Raw genomic sequence first — 16786 nt, forward strand, 5'->3', positions numbered from 1 at the left:
CTGCAGTGGCCATGCTGCAGAAAGGAGATGGGGGAAATATGGACCTTACTCTCAAAAAATGTTGGCTGTTCCTTTTTACATGCCTGATAGATCTCCTGAGGGACTTCATGGCCACAGCTTGCCTTGGTGTTTCCCACCCCAGGATAGAGCAAGATCACAGTCCAGGGTCTGTTGAAAGCATTTAAATGTATGTAATACCCATAGATACCAGGAAGAAAATATTTGTTTATTATATGTCTGATAAAGCTTTAATAACCATAATGTATTTTTAAAATTCTAAAACTCAAGAACAAATATACAAACAGTGGGACCTAATTAACCTAAAGAGCTTTTGCACAGCAAAAGAAACTTCCAACACAGTAAACAGACAACCTACAGAATGGGCAAAATACTCACTAACTACACATCCAATGAGGATGTGTAGTTATCCAGATTCTACCATGAATTGAAGAAGTTGAACAAACAAAACAACAAATAACTCCATTAAAATATAGGTAAAAGACTTGAACAGCCACTTCTCAAAAGAAGACAAGCAACCAACAAGCATATGAAAAATGCTCCACATCCCTAATTATCAAAGAAATGCAAATCAAAACCAGCATAAAATACCATCTCACACCTTAGAATAGCTATTATTAAAAATTCAAAAACCAGCAGATGTTGGTAAGGCTGAAGAGAAAAGGGTTGTTGGTGGGAAAATAAATTAGTTCAGCCACTGTGGGAAGCAATTTGTAGATTTCTGTAAAAACTTAAAACAGGACTACCATTTGACCCTGCAACCCCATTACTGGTTGCACATCCAAAAGAAAACAAATTGTTCTACCAAAAAGATACATACACTCTTATGCTCATTGCAGTGGTATTCACAAGAGCAAAGATCAAAGGAATCAACCTATATGTGATATATATATATATATATACACACACATATATACATATATATGCTACATACATATATATATATATATATATATATATATATATACACATACATATATACATATATCTTTGTAGCAACAGGGATGCAACTGGAGACTATTATCCTAAGTGAATTAATACAATAGCAGAAAACCAAATACCACATATTCTTGCTTCTGAATGGGAGCTAAATTTTGGATATTCATGGACATAACGATGACAACAATAGAAACTGGGGACTCCTAGAAGCAGGAATGATGAAGGGGGACAAGGGTTGAAAAACTAACTGTTGGGTACCATGCTCAATGCCTGAGGGAAGGATCATTTTTACTCCAAACTTCAGCATCATGCAGTGTACCCAGGTAACAAACCTGAACAAATATTCCCTGAATATAAAATAAAAGTTGGAAAAAATTTAAATGGGTAAATTACTTGAATAGACATTTCTACAAAAATAAATAAATACAAATAACCAATAAGCACATGAAAGATGCCGAATGCCATTACTCATTAAGGAAATGCAAATCAAAACCACAATTAGATACCTTTTTATACTTTGTAGGGTTGGTATAACCAAATAATTGGAAAATAACAAGTGTTGGCAAAGATGCCAAAAAAATAAAGTAAAACCCTAATGCACTGGTGGTAGGAATGCAAAATGGTACAGCCACTGTGGGAAAAGTTTGACAGTTTCTCAAAAAATTAAACATCAAATTACCACATGACCTAGCAATTCCACTCCTACATATATACCCAAAATAATTGAAAAAGGCACTCAAAGATATTATCATTCATGAATGTTCATAGGGGAATTATACACAATAGCCTAAAAGTTAAAACAACCCAAATGTCCATCAATTGATGAAAAGATACACTAATCATGGTAAATATAAAATGTAACGAAGTGCTGTGTATCCTACAATGTGAATGAATCTAGATAACATTATGCTAAGCAACAAAATTCCTGGGGTTATGGGTTTTTGAGAGAAAGACCGTAGAGGTAATGGACCATTTTAATTCTGCTAAGAACATGTACTCTCAACAAGATTTATCAGTGTGGATGTTAACTTTGCCTATCTGACTAACGTAGTACTTGTCAGGTTTCACCACAGTAAAGTTACTCTCCTTTTCTCCACCTTTTGATACTTTTTATTTTTTGTTTTATTTTGTTTTTTGAAGGAAATCATTATACACAAACCACTCTTGAAGTGAAGGGCTACATTCATTGCCCTTGACGGTAGAGTGGTTACGTAAGTTATTCGGAGTTCTGTAAGGAAGATTTCTCTCCATTTCTACTTTTATTTTTTATTCAATTGTTATATAGTATGGACTCATGTATACTTATTTCATACTTTGGGTTAAATCCAATATTAATTTTTGCTTTTGGCTTTTGCTCAAATAGTTTCAGTTTTGGACATTAGGAGCTCTTTCTGTTGGAGTCCTTGACCTACCCTATCAATGTGTTTTTCTTGTTTCTTGGGATTTTTTTTTTTTTAGCATGTTCTTTCTTTCTGGCACCACGAAATGCTCTTGATTCACTTTCTATGTGTCTTCTCTCTGTCCTAGAGTCAGCCACTTCTCTATAGTGTCCTGGATCCTTTCTTTGAAGAATGGTACTGAAAACAGATCCCAGTGCTAGGTGTGCTCTTGGATTCTTAGCCGTCTGCACCTAACGAAGTCAAGTCTGTGCTCATACTGATGTCTCTACCTAATTCATTACCACATGGATTACTGCAGCCTCCTTCCCTTGGTTGTCTGTACACTACCACTTCAGCAATAAGAACTTTCAATTAATGTAGGAATTTTAAACAAGAAACACAGGCATGGTTTCTTTATACTCAAGAAGTTTAAGTGGAAAAGTCCCTGCTCTAAGTGGGTCTCTTCATGCTGCTGAGTCAACAGGCAGAGAATGGGCTTACTGTTGATACTAATTGCAAAGGATAAATTTGGTTAATTATATACAATAGGGGCAAGTAGGACAATGTCAGAAACTAGGGCACTTGTCTCTTAGTGTCCCCATGTATGATAATGCTAATCACTAAGAAACAGCAGATACCAAATCAATATGGGATCCTAATATTATGGTTTCTTTTGGAATGATGGCTTTGATCTCCTCACTAGATCAGTTTCCACCTAGAAGAGGTTCTGTGGGAAATAAGGGGAACACGAAATGCATTTTGGAAGAAAGCTCTGATGATAATCCCAGTTCTTCTGGTCAGCTATGGAGCCATTATGTTTCACATCTACATTTCATATTAATTGTTTACTTTCCTCCTTTCCCTGGAGTCTTACTAAAGAGTGTTAGTGGTACATAACATTGCATATAGGTTCCATGTTGGGGTTTGACTGAGTTGGCATTAGTGTTGACGATAACTGAAAGAATTTTGTATCTTTGTGTTCAGTATTACATATACTTATTCTAATTTTAGTAAACCATTATGAAAATTCTGTTTACTAGATTCCTTTCACTTTTTTCTTTCTTGTTTTGTTCAAGGAGGATGACTTCTAGGATTTCCATCACCTAGGTTCCCAGGTTCCCCTTGGTGTCCGGTTGCTGGAGATCTTAGGCAATAGGGGGCAATGGCAAGAGGCAAGAGGGCAAAAGCAGAGGGTGCAGTGTTGGTCTCTTCTGTTTCCACGGTGTCTTGCTGTGGACTTGCAGGGAGTGCACTCCTCTTGAGTGTCAGCTCTTATTGAACAAATCCTCTTCCATATCTCAAACTCCGGCTGAGCTCCAGGAACACTGTTTTCTTTTCTTGTTCCTTCAGTTCCAGGGATGATAACTGCTTCCCTCTGTTGTTAGGTCATGGCTCTTTCACCGTCTCTCATTATTTTTCCCCTTACCCTGTACATAAATATGTAAGTAGTCCACTCAGCTAAGCATATTTAAGTGTGCTTTCCCTTTCCTGCCTGTAATATGCAACACACACACACACATACACACTCAACAGACCCAATTATCATTTTTATTATTTTTAAGTGGTATCAATTTCTAAACATATTAGAACTAGCTGTTTTTAAACATGTAACATATATTACATGTATTTCTCCAGGTAAATATAAACAGAGCTAATATTCAATAATTGTTTATTAAATGAGTGATCATTTTACCTCTGTAATAGACATTTGGGGAAACAATTTATGTAAGTAATCATTAGGTAAAATAGGTAGGCATCTTATTATCATCAGTTTTATTATTTTTATTTTATTTTTAATAGGTCAGGGTAGAAGTTTGTTTCCAGAACTTTGCTAATAGGGAGCAAATAATCTCCTTTTCATAATAACCAAAGCCTTTGCTGATCTATGAATTTATGCTCCCTAGTAACTTCTTCAACAATTACTATGGAATCTTCTAAAACTGTAGGAAATTTTTAAACTCTTATGGAAAGATGAACACATAATTTTATAAAACAGAATTTATGCCACATTTTTACATTATTCTCTAAAGCACCAAATAACCTGTAAAGTAACATCCTGGAAATTGCTAACTATGACATTTCCCCATCAGATTCTCAGCCTTTTGGATAAACCTCTACTCCTTCTCATCTCATTAGACAATTAGCAGTGACCTTTTTTAAAAGAACCTATGACAACTTTTATATTAGTTTAAAATTCTGGTGACATACAATTTTAGACCTTTCAATTTTCTCCTTTCTTTGGAAGGGCTACATTTGTGGTAATATAAGAATAACCTTCTGAACATATTAGAGCTTACCTTATTTTGTCAGAAACACTATCAGTTTTTTAAATTCTTTTGTTGTATGAAACTTTGCAGATTATGGACAATGATCTCCTCAACAGTAACTAAGCAGACAGGGTAGAAAACGAATGTGAAAAAAGTAAGTGTAAGTAAATAGTGAAAAGGAAACCAGAAGCCGTACTGTATGAATATTTAGTGAGCTTAATTTTTTGGCAGATAATAGTTTTTGTTTGTTTGTTTGTTTGTTTGTTTTTTAATTTATTTATTTTTTATTGATAATTCTTGGGTGTTTCTCACAGAGGGGGATTTGGCAGGGTCATAGGACAATAGTGGAGGGAAGGTCAGCAGATAAACAAGTGAACAAAGGTCTCTGGTTTTCCTAGGCAGAGGACCCTGCGGCCTTCCGCAGTGTTTGTGTCCCTGGGTACTTGAGATTAGGGAGTGGTGATGACTCTTAACGAGCATGCTGCCTTCTAGCATCTGTTTAACAAAGCACATCTTGCACCGCCCTTAATCCATTTAACGCTGAGTGGACACAGCACATGTTTCAGAGAGCACAGGGTTGGGGGTAAGGTCACAGATCAACAGGATCCCAAGGCAGAAGAAGTTTTTTTAGTACAGAACAAAATGAAAAGTCTCCCATGTCTACTTCTTTCTACACAGACACGGCAACCATCCGATTTCTCAATCTTTTCCCCACCTTTCCCCCCTTTCTATTCCACAAAACCGCCATTGTCATCCTGGCCCGTTCTCAATGAGCTGTTGGGCACACCTCCCAGACGGGGTGGTGGCCGGGCAGAGGGGCTCCTCACTTCCCAGTAGGGGCGGCCGGGCAGAGGCGCCCCTCACCTCCCGGGCGGGGCGGCTGGCCGGGCGGGGGGCTGACCCCCCACCTCCCTCCCGGACGGGGTGGCTGCCGGGCGGAGAGGCTCCTCACTTCTCAGACGGGGCGGCTGCCGGGCGGAGGGGCTCTTCACTTCTCAGATGGGGCGGTTGCCGGGCAGAGGGTCTCCTCACTTCTCAGATGGGGCGGCCGGGCAGAGACGCTCCTCACCTCCCAGACAGGGTCGGGGCCGGGCAGAGGTGCTCCTCACATCCCAGATGGGGCGGCGGGGCAGAGGCGCTCCCCACATCTCAGACGATGGGCGGCCGGGCAGAGACGCTCCTCACTTCCTAGATGTGATGGCGGCCGGGAAGAGGTGCTCCTCACTTCCTAGGTGGGATGGCAGCCGGGCGGAGACGCTTCTCACTTTCCAGACTGGGCAGCCGGGCAGAGGGGCTCCTCACATCCCAGATGATGGGCGGCCAGGCAGAGACGCTCCTCACTTCCCAGACGGGGTGGCGGCCGGGCAGAGGCTGCAATCTCGGCACTTTGGAAGGCCAAGGCAGGCGGCTGGGAGGTGGAGGTTGTAGAGAGCCGAGATCACGCCACTGCACTCCAGCCTGGGCACCATTGAGCACTGAGTGAACGAGACTCCGTCTGCAATCCCGGCACCTCGGGAGGCCGAGGCTGGCGGATCACTTGCGGTTAGGGGCTGGAGACCGGCCTGGCCAACACAGCGAAACCCCGTCTCCACCAAAACCAGTCAGGCGTGGCGGCGCGAGCCTGCAATCGCAGGCACTGGGCAGGCTGAGTCAGGAGAATCAGGCAGGGAGGTTGCAGTGAGCCGAGATGGCAGCAGTACAGTCCAGCGTTGGCTCAGCAGGAGAGGGAGACCGTGGAAAGAGAGGGAGAGGGAGAGAGAGGGAGATGGAGAGGGAGAGGGAGAGGGAGAGATAATAGTTTTAATAAAGAATGTACATATAGAAAATAAGTGTAAGAACATTTGAGAAAAACACATGAATTCAAGTGGGTGTTTATGTGGAATATTTAGTGATTTAAAGAAAAATATATATCAAATATGAGATCATGGCTTTTAGAAGAACAATAACATTATTTGTGGAAAATATTTCTAGGAAACAATTCACTAATTGTAATTTAGTGGATTTAAAAGATAATATGGATTGTTTATTGATTGCACTTGGTTGAGCATTTAAATTAATGTAAGTGGTTTTAAGTCACACCAACAGGATTTGGTATAGTTGATCATGTCCTGCTGCTAGAAAAAGTCTCTTCACCCGGTTGGATGCCACTTTCTTCTGGCTTTTCACCAACATCACTGGACTCTCAGACTCTGGTCTGTTCTTCCTTATACCAAAGACTTTTAAATATGAAGGGCTATAGGGCGTTGTCTTTAGAATTCTTTTCTATCTATGCTCAATCCTAAAGCAATCTTTTATTGTCTAATATTTCTAAATGCTTTCTAAAATCCAACTTATTCAAAATTTGTATGTCCAATCCAGACCTGTTCTCCAATTCCGCACTCTTATATCCAAATGCCTGCATGATCTATTCACTAGGATATAGGCATCTCAAACTAAATACACCCAAAATAAGATCTTCATCTGCAACTCTTCCCAGGGAAAAAAAGAAATCTAACTTGAAATCAAAAAAAAGAAAAAAAAGAAAAAAAAATCCCCTCTCTTCTCTTCCCTCAGGTTTCTTCATTCCAATCAGTGTCTTTTCCATTTCTTCCAATTTCTCAGCAGAAACACATTTAAAAATCATCCTTTACTTCTCCCCCTTACCCGACACATCTACTCTATCAGAAACCCACCTTTTAAGAATATGCCCAGAATCAGAACACTTTATATCACTTTAACCACTATCAATGTAGCACAAATAACTGCAATTTATCTTTGCACTTTTTGAAATAGTCTTCTTTTCCAACAATCTCTCTGCTTCTACTCTTGTTCCTCAGTTTATTTTCTAAGAGCAGTCAGAGCTATCCAGTCAATTTCAATTTCAGATCATGCCAACTCCATGCTAGCATCCCACTGTATTCGGAGTAAAACCAAAGTACTTTTGATCTCTTAAAAGATATTTATTATTGTAGGGTGGGGCTTGGGGGGGGGGTAATTACGCTCCCACTCCAATACCCATTTTCGAAGACTAAATATGTATCCTCTCTGTCCAGAACACTTTTTTCAAAGATAACAGTTTTATGCCCTTATTCACCTTTGCTCCTGGTTCAAATATTATATTTTCACTAAGGCATCCATATAATTTATGAAACACACATTTAGAATTACAAGCCTTCTACGCATGACTCACTATTCCTTTTTATTGCTTTATGTTATCCACAGAATATGTTTCATATACAGTTTATTATACTTGATTTTATTTTTCTTATCATTTTGCTGCACTAGAATATAATGTCTATGAGGTTGAAAATATTTGACTGTTTTGTTCAGTTCTTATGCATCAGCAACTCACAGATTATGACATAAAATATGTGATAAATACTGGAGTAAAAAGTGTGATTGGGTGATTTTTAAAATAATTCTGTTAATTGTGAGTAAAGGTGAAATAAACATGAAAGTACAGATATCTTTTTGACATACTAATTTCATTTCTGTTGAACACATAGCCAGTAGTAGGACTGTTAGCTGATATGGAAGTTTTATTTTTGATGTTTTGAAGAACCTCCCTACTGTTTTTCATAATTGCTGCACTAATACATTGCCACCAATAGTGTGCAAGAGTCCCATTTTCCCCACATGCTCATCAACACTTCTTATCTTTTGTCTTTTTGATAATGTCCATTCTGACTGGTGTAAGATGACATCTCATCATGGTTTTAATTTGCATTTCCCAGATGATTAGAGAGGTTGACCATTTTTCATATACCCATTGGCCATTTGTACACCTTGTACATCTTCCTTTAAGAACTGTCCATTCAGTCCCTTTGACTAATTTGTAATTTGGATAGCTGTTCTTTTGCTATTGAGTTGAGTTCCTTATATATTTTAGATATTAACCCATTATCAGATGTATAGTTTGGAAATATTTTCCCCCATCTATAAGTTGTCTTTTCATCCTGTTTATTGTTTTCTTTGCTGTGCAGAAGCTTTTGAGTTTGATAAAATCCATTGTCCATTTTTATGTTTGCTGCATTTTCTTTTGGAATCGTATCCAAAAAACCATTGGCTAGGTCAATGTCCTGGAGAATTTCCCTATGGTTTTGTGTGGTGATTTCATTGTTTCAGGTCTTACATTTAAGTATTTAATCCATTTAGAGTTGATTTTGTATATGGTGTGAGATAAGGTTCTAATTTTATTTGTATACATGTGAATATTCAGTTTTCTTGGCACCATTTCTTAAAGAAACTGTTCTCTTCTCATTAGAGATTATTGGCACCTTTGGTGAAATTCAGTTGGCTGTAATTGCTTGGAATTATTTATGGGTTTTCTATCTTGTTCCATGTCTATTTTTATTCCAATAATTTTGCTTTTTTGGTTACTAGAGCTTTCTAGTATTTTCTGAAGTCAAGTAACAAGATGCATCTGGTTCTGTTCTTTTTTGCTCAGGATTACTTTGGCAATTCAGAGTCTGTTGTGGTTCCGTATCAATTTTAGGAATTTTTTCTATTTATGTGAATAACGTCATTGGTAATTTGATAGGGATTGCATTGAAACTCGCGATTAATTTGAGTATTATGAACACTTCATTTTTTTATAAAAATATGTACTTAATATGTAAGAACATTTGTAGTTTTCTCTGCAATATTCTGTAGAAATGAACAGACACCTCTGGCCAGAGCAGTACAGGAATCTAGATTACATCCGTAGCCTCAGTCAAAGGGCACCTGAGGTTGACCATTATGAGTCAGTTACTGGGTTGTCTCTGAAGCCTAGAGATAGGTGGCTGAAATGTTTTACTACCCAAAATCAGTAGAATGTTCCCCTTTAGTTTTTAAGAGCAGCATTTCAGTGAAAGCTTGCTGCTAAATAAACATTATAATTTAAATATGACCATACTGTTTTGCCATTGAGAGTCATACATCCCTGTATATTGAGACTTACATTGGATATTTATCATGGAGGGAAATAAAACCAATATAACTTGTGTGTGTATGTGTGTGTGTGTGTGTTGTTTTTTGGCCAGGACAATACAATTTTCTGAGGAATCATTAGGTAAAGAACAATCTGAGACATCATGAAAAACTTCCTAAAATGAAACTCCAAAATTATGAAACGAAATACATAATTATTAGAGATTGAGTTAACATTAGCTTATACCCTTTAACTAATTATTACTTATACAGTGTTTAAAAGATCATTGCTTTATTTTATACAAGAATAAATATATGTTAACTTCTCAAAAATTATAAAGAGATGTTACTGGGGTTTTAGTTTTACTTACACATTAATTTTATGATTTTGGCCAAACCTGAACAACATTACAAATGTCTTAGCCTAAGACAGCCCATGTAAAACTGTTCTCTCTTCAAAAGTGACTACCACCAAAAATTTATGTAAAAGTGGTTCTTCACAATGAGTTCTGAACAGTTTCTCTATCACAAAATTAGTGTTCAATAAGGTATGTTAAATGGGTGAGAAATATAAATTAGTGATTATAGATACAAAAATATTACCTTTTAATAAAAAAAAACGCTCAAACTCTGGCTTCTGCATTTTTCCTTATCCTCATTCACAAGGAAGAACATTGGGTGAAAGTAATGACTTACACTAACTATTCATTATGAACATCCCATTTACAGAACTGTACTGATAACAACATCTTGTGATTATGTTGTGGAGGGGCAAAATTTTCCCCAGAATTAATGATAAATGCATCAGGACCTTTATCCAGTACACTGTTCGAGATGATTAAATTCATGGTATGTTTGCTTAATCTATTTTCCCTTTCCAGACACTATGCTCTTTGCCTGAGGCAAACCCATCTAATAATTTTCAATTGAACAAAACCATAACTCATGACCCAATAAATTATTAAGGAACCCTGCCTTGCATCTGATTCATCATTCATCTTACCACAATGGCAGAAAGCCTACTGAATTTCCTAACAGTTTCTTACCATGATGAATAGTTCCTTTTAAATGTAGGAATACTTTCATGTATGTTTATGCATGTATATTTTTACAAAATTACTTTTTAAGCTAAAATTTGTCACTAAAACTTCATAGTAATAATATCGGTGTTTGAAAAAGTTTTCTCATCTGTTTACATCACTTGAAATTTGCTTCTGAACCCAGACAGTCCTCCAGAGGTAACCATTATATGTTCCCTGAGGTTAGATTTTTTTAATCAACTACAGAGTATAGAATATTAAAATATTGTTTCTTATTTTCTCATTTTCTTATTTCTTATAAGCTAATATTCTAAACTGGCCTCTAGAATTCCAAGGAGAGAACACTGTTTAAAAGTATATGTTACATAGTAGGAGTGGAGTAAACTTGGAAGGGTATTGAGATGTTTAAAATATTTCAAAACAGAGAGATGATTGCAGTAGTGTCAGTAGTGAGCAATAAGCTTCACCTTTGACCTGCCTCTCTATAGCCAGTCATGAAATATATATTGAATCACATTTTAAAGCCTAGATATTATGCTTAATAACTGAGTTGTCAGATGTGATATCTGAGAATACATTTCATCATAGTAACCGGTTGAACAATAATTATGATTTGCCATAGGCTATTACCTATGTTATCACATAAAAAAGTGTCATTGTTGTGATAAAAATGGAATATTTGACAGTATCAGAAAATATAATCTGTCTCCTTAGTTAGCTGTATTTTAAACTGGTGTGAGTATAGAATACACAACTCACCAAATCTCTGAACAGTATGTATCTTGATGATTTATTATTTTTCTTCTTAAAATTGAAAACCGGGGGTATGGAAGTTTCAAAAATAATATTGAAGAAGGAGAAAGAAAGAAGTGCATCCACATCCCCACGATTCTTCCTCAGTGTCTGATTTCATTTTGGATATTACTCACTGTTCCATGATGACCACAAAGACAAAAGTGTCAATTTATTTCTTATGAAAGTGTGTAACAACATTACCTAAAAAATTAAAGCTATTATTTTGAATTGATACAGGTTTTATTTCTGATTCCCTGTTACTTCTCTTAAGGGCTGTCAAGAACAAATTCCTGTTTTCTTTTTGTTGAAAAGAAGATTTGTAAGAAGTTTTAAAAACTACAATTTGGATCAATTGTTCAATTTTCTTCCCTTTATTCCTGATGGCACAGTTGAGCCAGATGTCTTTTTGTGGGTGAGAGGAGCAAAAAGCAAACAGAAGCGATAATTGTGTGTTCATGCCTGAGAGTTTCCTGAACCCAATTACTTAATCAAAGGCAACTTGCACCTGCAGTTACACAACAGCAGGAATAACAAGTTGCTGCAGGGATATTGGACTGTGTCTAGAAAATTTCAAAGACTTGCCCTTTTAGTCTGCCCTCCTACCTTTTTGAAGTTTGATTCCCTCGTTTTGTAGATAAATACTTGAACAAGACCTTCAGAATATAATAAGCAATATAAATAAAACACCCAAAGACAAGAAAACCCCCTACCAAAACAAATGTAGAACTTCATATGTGGCATGTTTATAAAAACCGAGGATCATTTTTTGGTATTCTCATAAACATGACATGACCACGAAATACTTAAAAAGCTGCCACCCATTCGGCTGCTGCAGACAAATCATCATTATGTTTCATGGAAAATAACAGCTGAAGGGCTCGATTCTGAAACAAGTGGAGAAGTGCTCAAGCAGTATTTAAACCCCTAAGAATCCTTTCTCCTCCTAAAACCATCAGCTTTTATAAGCAGTATCTCACCGCACCACAAAAGGTGATCAAATATACTTTGTACAAGAAACTTGTAGAATTTGGTAATAGAGTTTATTTAAACTGGAAAGAGGTTGCACTCCAGTGCCTTTATATTATATAGGTCTTTTGAGTAGCAGATAAGAAAATATTTATTTTAAATGACATATTGTCTGTTTTATTGGCCGTATTTTGAGACGATGTGTACATAAAGTATTTTGAGACAAAGTGTACATAAAGATGAGAAGCAGAAGTAAATATGCTAACTCAATCATGGAAGTAATCAGTGCTGTGTGTCTTGGCACAGATAAATATGATGGAAAAACCAGGTGCTACAGAAACAAATTGGTAGTTTGTAAAGATCCAAGGTAGGGGCCTCTCCCTTCACTCATTCCTGGGGTTAGTCATTGCCCCAATGAAAAATACCTTGGTTCCTGGGAGCGTGTATGTATGTGTTTGGTGGTGTTTCATTTATAGTGAAGGTAATTCTTAAAGTCCTCACTTTTTATTCCATTTTCTCTATTAAATTATTCTTGACTAAACTTTTGTTATATCAAAGATTTCTCATTTATAGGATTGCTATTAACTACTGTTAACAAATACCCAAACAGAGAGACTAAAGCAATGGTTTAGGTAAAATTGTTCATGCACAAATTGAATTAAAAATAAAAGCTTTTCAAAATTGGGCTGAACTGTACCATTTGCTGTTTTGTGACCTTGCTTTCATTAGCCGGGTATCTGACTGTATAAATATAAAGCTGAGATTGTTAGAATTTCTTGAAGATATCCTATGCATCAATAAGAAAAAATTATCTACTGGTTTCTTGTTCATCAAGAAAATTTACAGCAAGGAAAACAGATTGATTCCATTTGTTCTTAACAGCACATGCAGCTCTTATCATTGAAGCATGAAGAAAGAAAATGTATTGATTTAGACAGAGAAATAATTAGGTAAACATTGTGAACATTCATAGTTTATCTGACATAAACCAACCCAGATAGTACAGATAAGGTCTTCAGTTTATCTGCCCGCCACCCCAGTCATCTGGTCATCAATTTACATGTATCAGTCATATATTGATTCATTAAAAACACTCCAAACTTGGCAGCAAATAGTAACAATCATTTATTCTCACTCACACTTATGTGTGTCTGGTTGTGGCTGATGTAGAATGAGTGAGGCTAGATGATATGGTTCAAGCTGCAGGTCTCACTGGACTCACTGACCACTGCATGTTGCCTCCTGCCAGGTTAAATATGTTCTGTGTGATCCCACTGTGGGGTACAAGCTAATGGAGAAGAACTTACCTAGAGAAAGCTTTTACTGTGGTGTTGGAAGAAGCTCAAAAAGCAACTGGAAAGACACAGTTCCTCTGAAGGCTGAGGTTGGGAAACAGCACGCTGCCACTGACCCCATGTTCCATTTTCTGAGGCAAGGTCTTGGCCTGGCCCTATATTAAAGGGGTACGTTCATGCTTCCACACAACAGAGACTATAACTGCAAAGTCACGTGGCACAGGGCCAAGGAACAAGGAGAGATGATGAACTGGGGCTAATAATTCAGTCTACCACCATGTGCTCTCTTGCAAAATAATACTCTAATCTCCCTCTCAAGACTCCCAAATATCTAAACTATCATAACCCTAGGCTTCGAATTTAGAAAGTTGCAGCACACCTCAATGTATCAGCCTCCATTGAATCTGGAGAGTTAGATCCTAAACAGTAAAGGTAATATCCTGTCTAAAACAAACTTGTAATGAGAGATTAGAGACAAGCTACTATAAGTAAAATGGAAAAAACTAACAGGCGCATAGCAGTCACTGGTTTATAACAACTCTGAGATCACACTGGACAAATACTGCTTGATCTCCTACTGTTAGTTTTCTCTATTTTCTTCTTTCCAGATTATTTCAGGAGGCAGTTTTAATAGATACGTCACCACAACATAGCATGTATTACCCTTTTTGCAGCTTCCTATAGTAATTTTTGAAAATGATTCCCATTTTCTCTATTATTTATCTTGCTATATTTCACCTACCTCCAAGTCAATTACCACATACTTAAATACTTTGTTATAGAAGCACTCAGTGTTTAAGGGCTAATTTCTGTATCAGTTAGTTATTGCTGTATAATAATCCATTTTAAAGTGCAGTGGTGTGAAGCAATGCTCACATATTCTTTTGTGTATGCGTTTGCTGGACATCAAGTGACTGGTGGCGAGCCGTCTGAGTGGCTCTACTTAAAGCTAAAGCTCTGGCTGGCCGTGGCTCCTTTCTGTGTGTTGAACTTAGGTCTGTTGTTTGTGTATCCATTTCTGGGCTAGCTGGGGAGGCCAGCAACTATCCGTGGGTGGTTTTCTTCTTATGTTTTAAGAAACAGAAAAGAACAAATAGAAACATACTATGATAGAGTTAAATATGTTGACAAATTACCCCCCGACCCCCACATCAAAGTATGTAATGTGTATCTCCACCCTTGGGTATGAGCTGGCCATGCAATGACGAGCACACTTTACTTGCAGTGGTGATTAGAACATTACCAATCCCCTGAGGCACACAGAGCATTGAAAGTGTTCGAATGTTAGCTGCTGCTGTCTAGCCTCAGACAAATTTATGAATAAGGCCAAACCAGGCATCTAGACAATGAGAGACCACAAGGAAGAAGTAATAAACTGGCACAGCTGAACCACCAGCCTGCTAAACAACAGACAGCAGCTTCCAACCCTCACTCATCTTAGAGGCGTGAGCAACAAAGCTGACTAAGCTAGAGCAATCACAGAATTTATCTAAATGAATCTTTATGTGTGTTGTTCTCATTAGCTACTAACTTCTGGTATAGTTTGTTACAAGGGAAAAAAGCTACCTGGTACGGTAATTGATACCTAGAAATGGGTCTTTACAAAACTTAAAATGTATGGCATTGACTTTGGAATTGGGTGATAGAGAATGAAAAGCTACCAAGGACTCAGTTGGAAAAAGGCTAGAGAAACAGTGCAGAAATTATTTATGTATGTATGTATTTATGTATGTATGTATGTTTGTATTTATTTATTTTTGAGACGGAGTCTCGCTCTGTCACCAGGCTGGAGTGCAGTGGCATGATCTCGGCTCACTGCAACTTCCGCCTCCTGAGTTCAAGCGATTCTCCTGCCTCAGCCTCCCAAATAGCTGGGACCACAGGCACGTGCCCCCATGCCCAGCTATTGCTTTTGTATTTTTAGTAGAGATGGGGTTTCACCATGTTGGCCAGGATGGTCTCCATCTCTTGACCTCATGATCCTCCCACCTTGGCCTCCCAAAGTGCTGGGATTACAGGTGTGAGCCACTGTGCCTGGCAGAAATTATTATTGAAGGGTGGAAAAACTGACAATTTATTTATGTGGCTGTGAAACAATTGGCAGAACTGTAACCTGTGTCACTTGTCAGATAGAAAATGTACCTAATAAACATGAATTGTCCAAAGATACCACCAGACAGAATATTGAAAGTGTCAGCTGGATGTTTCCAGCTGCATATGATAAAGAACTCCAGGGGAGAGATAAGCTATAGATGAAACTGTTATGATTGCAAGAGTAAGTTAAAGGGTTATAGAGGAGCCATAAATTATTGGGTTGGAAAATAAACTCTGATCCCTAGTCTCTGAGTGAGTAAAATGTTCTTGAATCAAAAGGAGACCTAAAGCCATAGTTAATATCAAAGATGTGGTTATAGCACTTCATATTAATAACTTCAAAAGATTTAATACAATGTCTACTAAACTCTCTCAACTAGAAGAATTGGTTTCACAAAAGTCAAAACACACCAAGTAGAGAGAAGGTTGTCTCAGAAAGAAAAGTAAGTTTTTTTTTCCCCCTAATAGAATAGAATATAAAGTGATACATAATATCCCCACAAAAGTTCTTAAGGAAAATATGGTATTTTAAACTAAAAGAAAATGAAATTGCTTAAATTTCAAAACGCCTCCTTTTTTGTGGTTTTATAACTTTATTTGACAAGCAGCTATTAGCTCTCATCCACATTGACTGTTTTTAGAGTTTTGAAAATGGTAACAGGTACATAGGTAACCAAAGTATAGAGCTTGTTTGATAAATCTTTATCCTCATTACATTTTCTGGACAATTGCACATGGACACGATATGGGACATGCCTTTGGTGTTGTCAGCTTTTTACAAGCAGGAAATGTGTTGAGAAAGTTATTTGGCTACAAATGTTGGCAATTTCATAAGAAAAATGTGGGACATCTCAGGAGGCAGAATAAAGATTCCATATGGTGTAGGCAGGAAACAGAGAGCAATGGAGTAGGGAGATGACAACTAGGTACAATTTAAGCAATGGGCACAACTGCTTATTTAGGGGATCCTGGCACCATGAACCCAATGGAATTTTTAAAATTTTATGGGCCAGTGGCTGATGAGCATTTATTAGAATTATCCATATACTGTGAGCATTTATTACATTGAATTTTTAAAATCTTATGGACCAGTGGCCAATGAG

The 16786-nt window shown here is 37.5% G+C and overlaps 1 pseudogene, besides 1 other annotated feature; it reads right to left on the reverse strand.

Moving 5' to 3' along the window:
- Positions 5574 to 6330: an enhancer, noted in NCBI's record as "H3K27ac hESC enhancer chr18:64794127-64794883 (GRCh37/hg19 assembly coordinates)". NCBI's record gives its function as "activates a minimal SCP1, AML or CMV promoter by ChIP-STARR-seq in naive H9 embryonic stem cells {active_cell/tissue: H9 hESC(naive)}" and the evidence as "EXISTENCE:reporter gene assay evidence [ECO:0000049][PMID:30033119]".
- Positions 16295 to 16442, reverse strand: RPL31P9 (ribosomal protein L31 pseudogene 9; annotated as a pseudogene).

The sequence above is a fragment of the Homo sapiens genome, chromosome 18, assembly GCF_000001405.40.
Source record: "Homo sapiens chromosome 18, GRCh38.p14 Primary Assembly".
Lineage (NCBI taxonomy): Eukaryota > Metazoa > Chordata > Mammalia > Primates > Hominidae > Homo > Homo sapiens.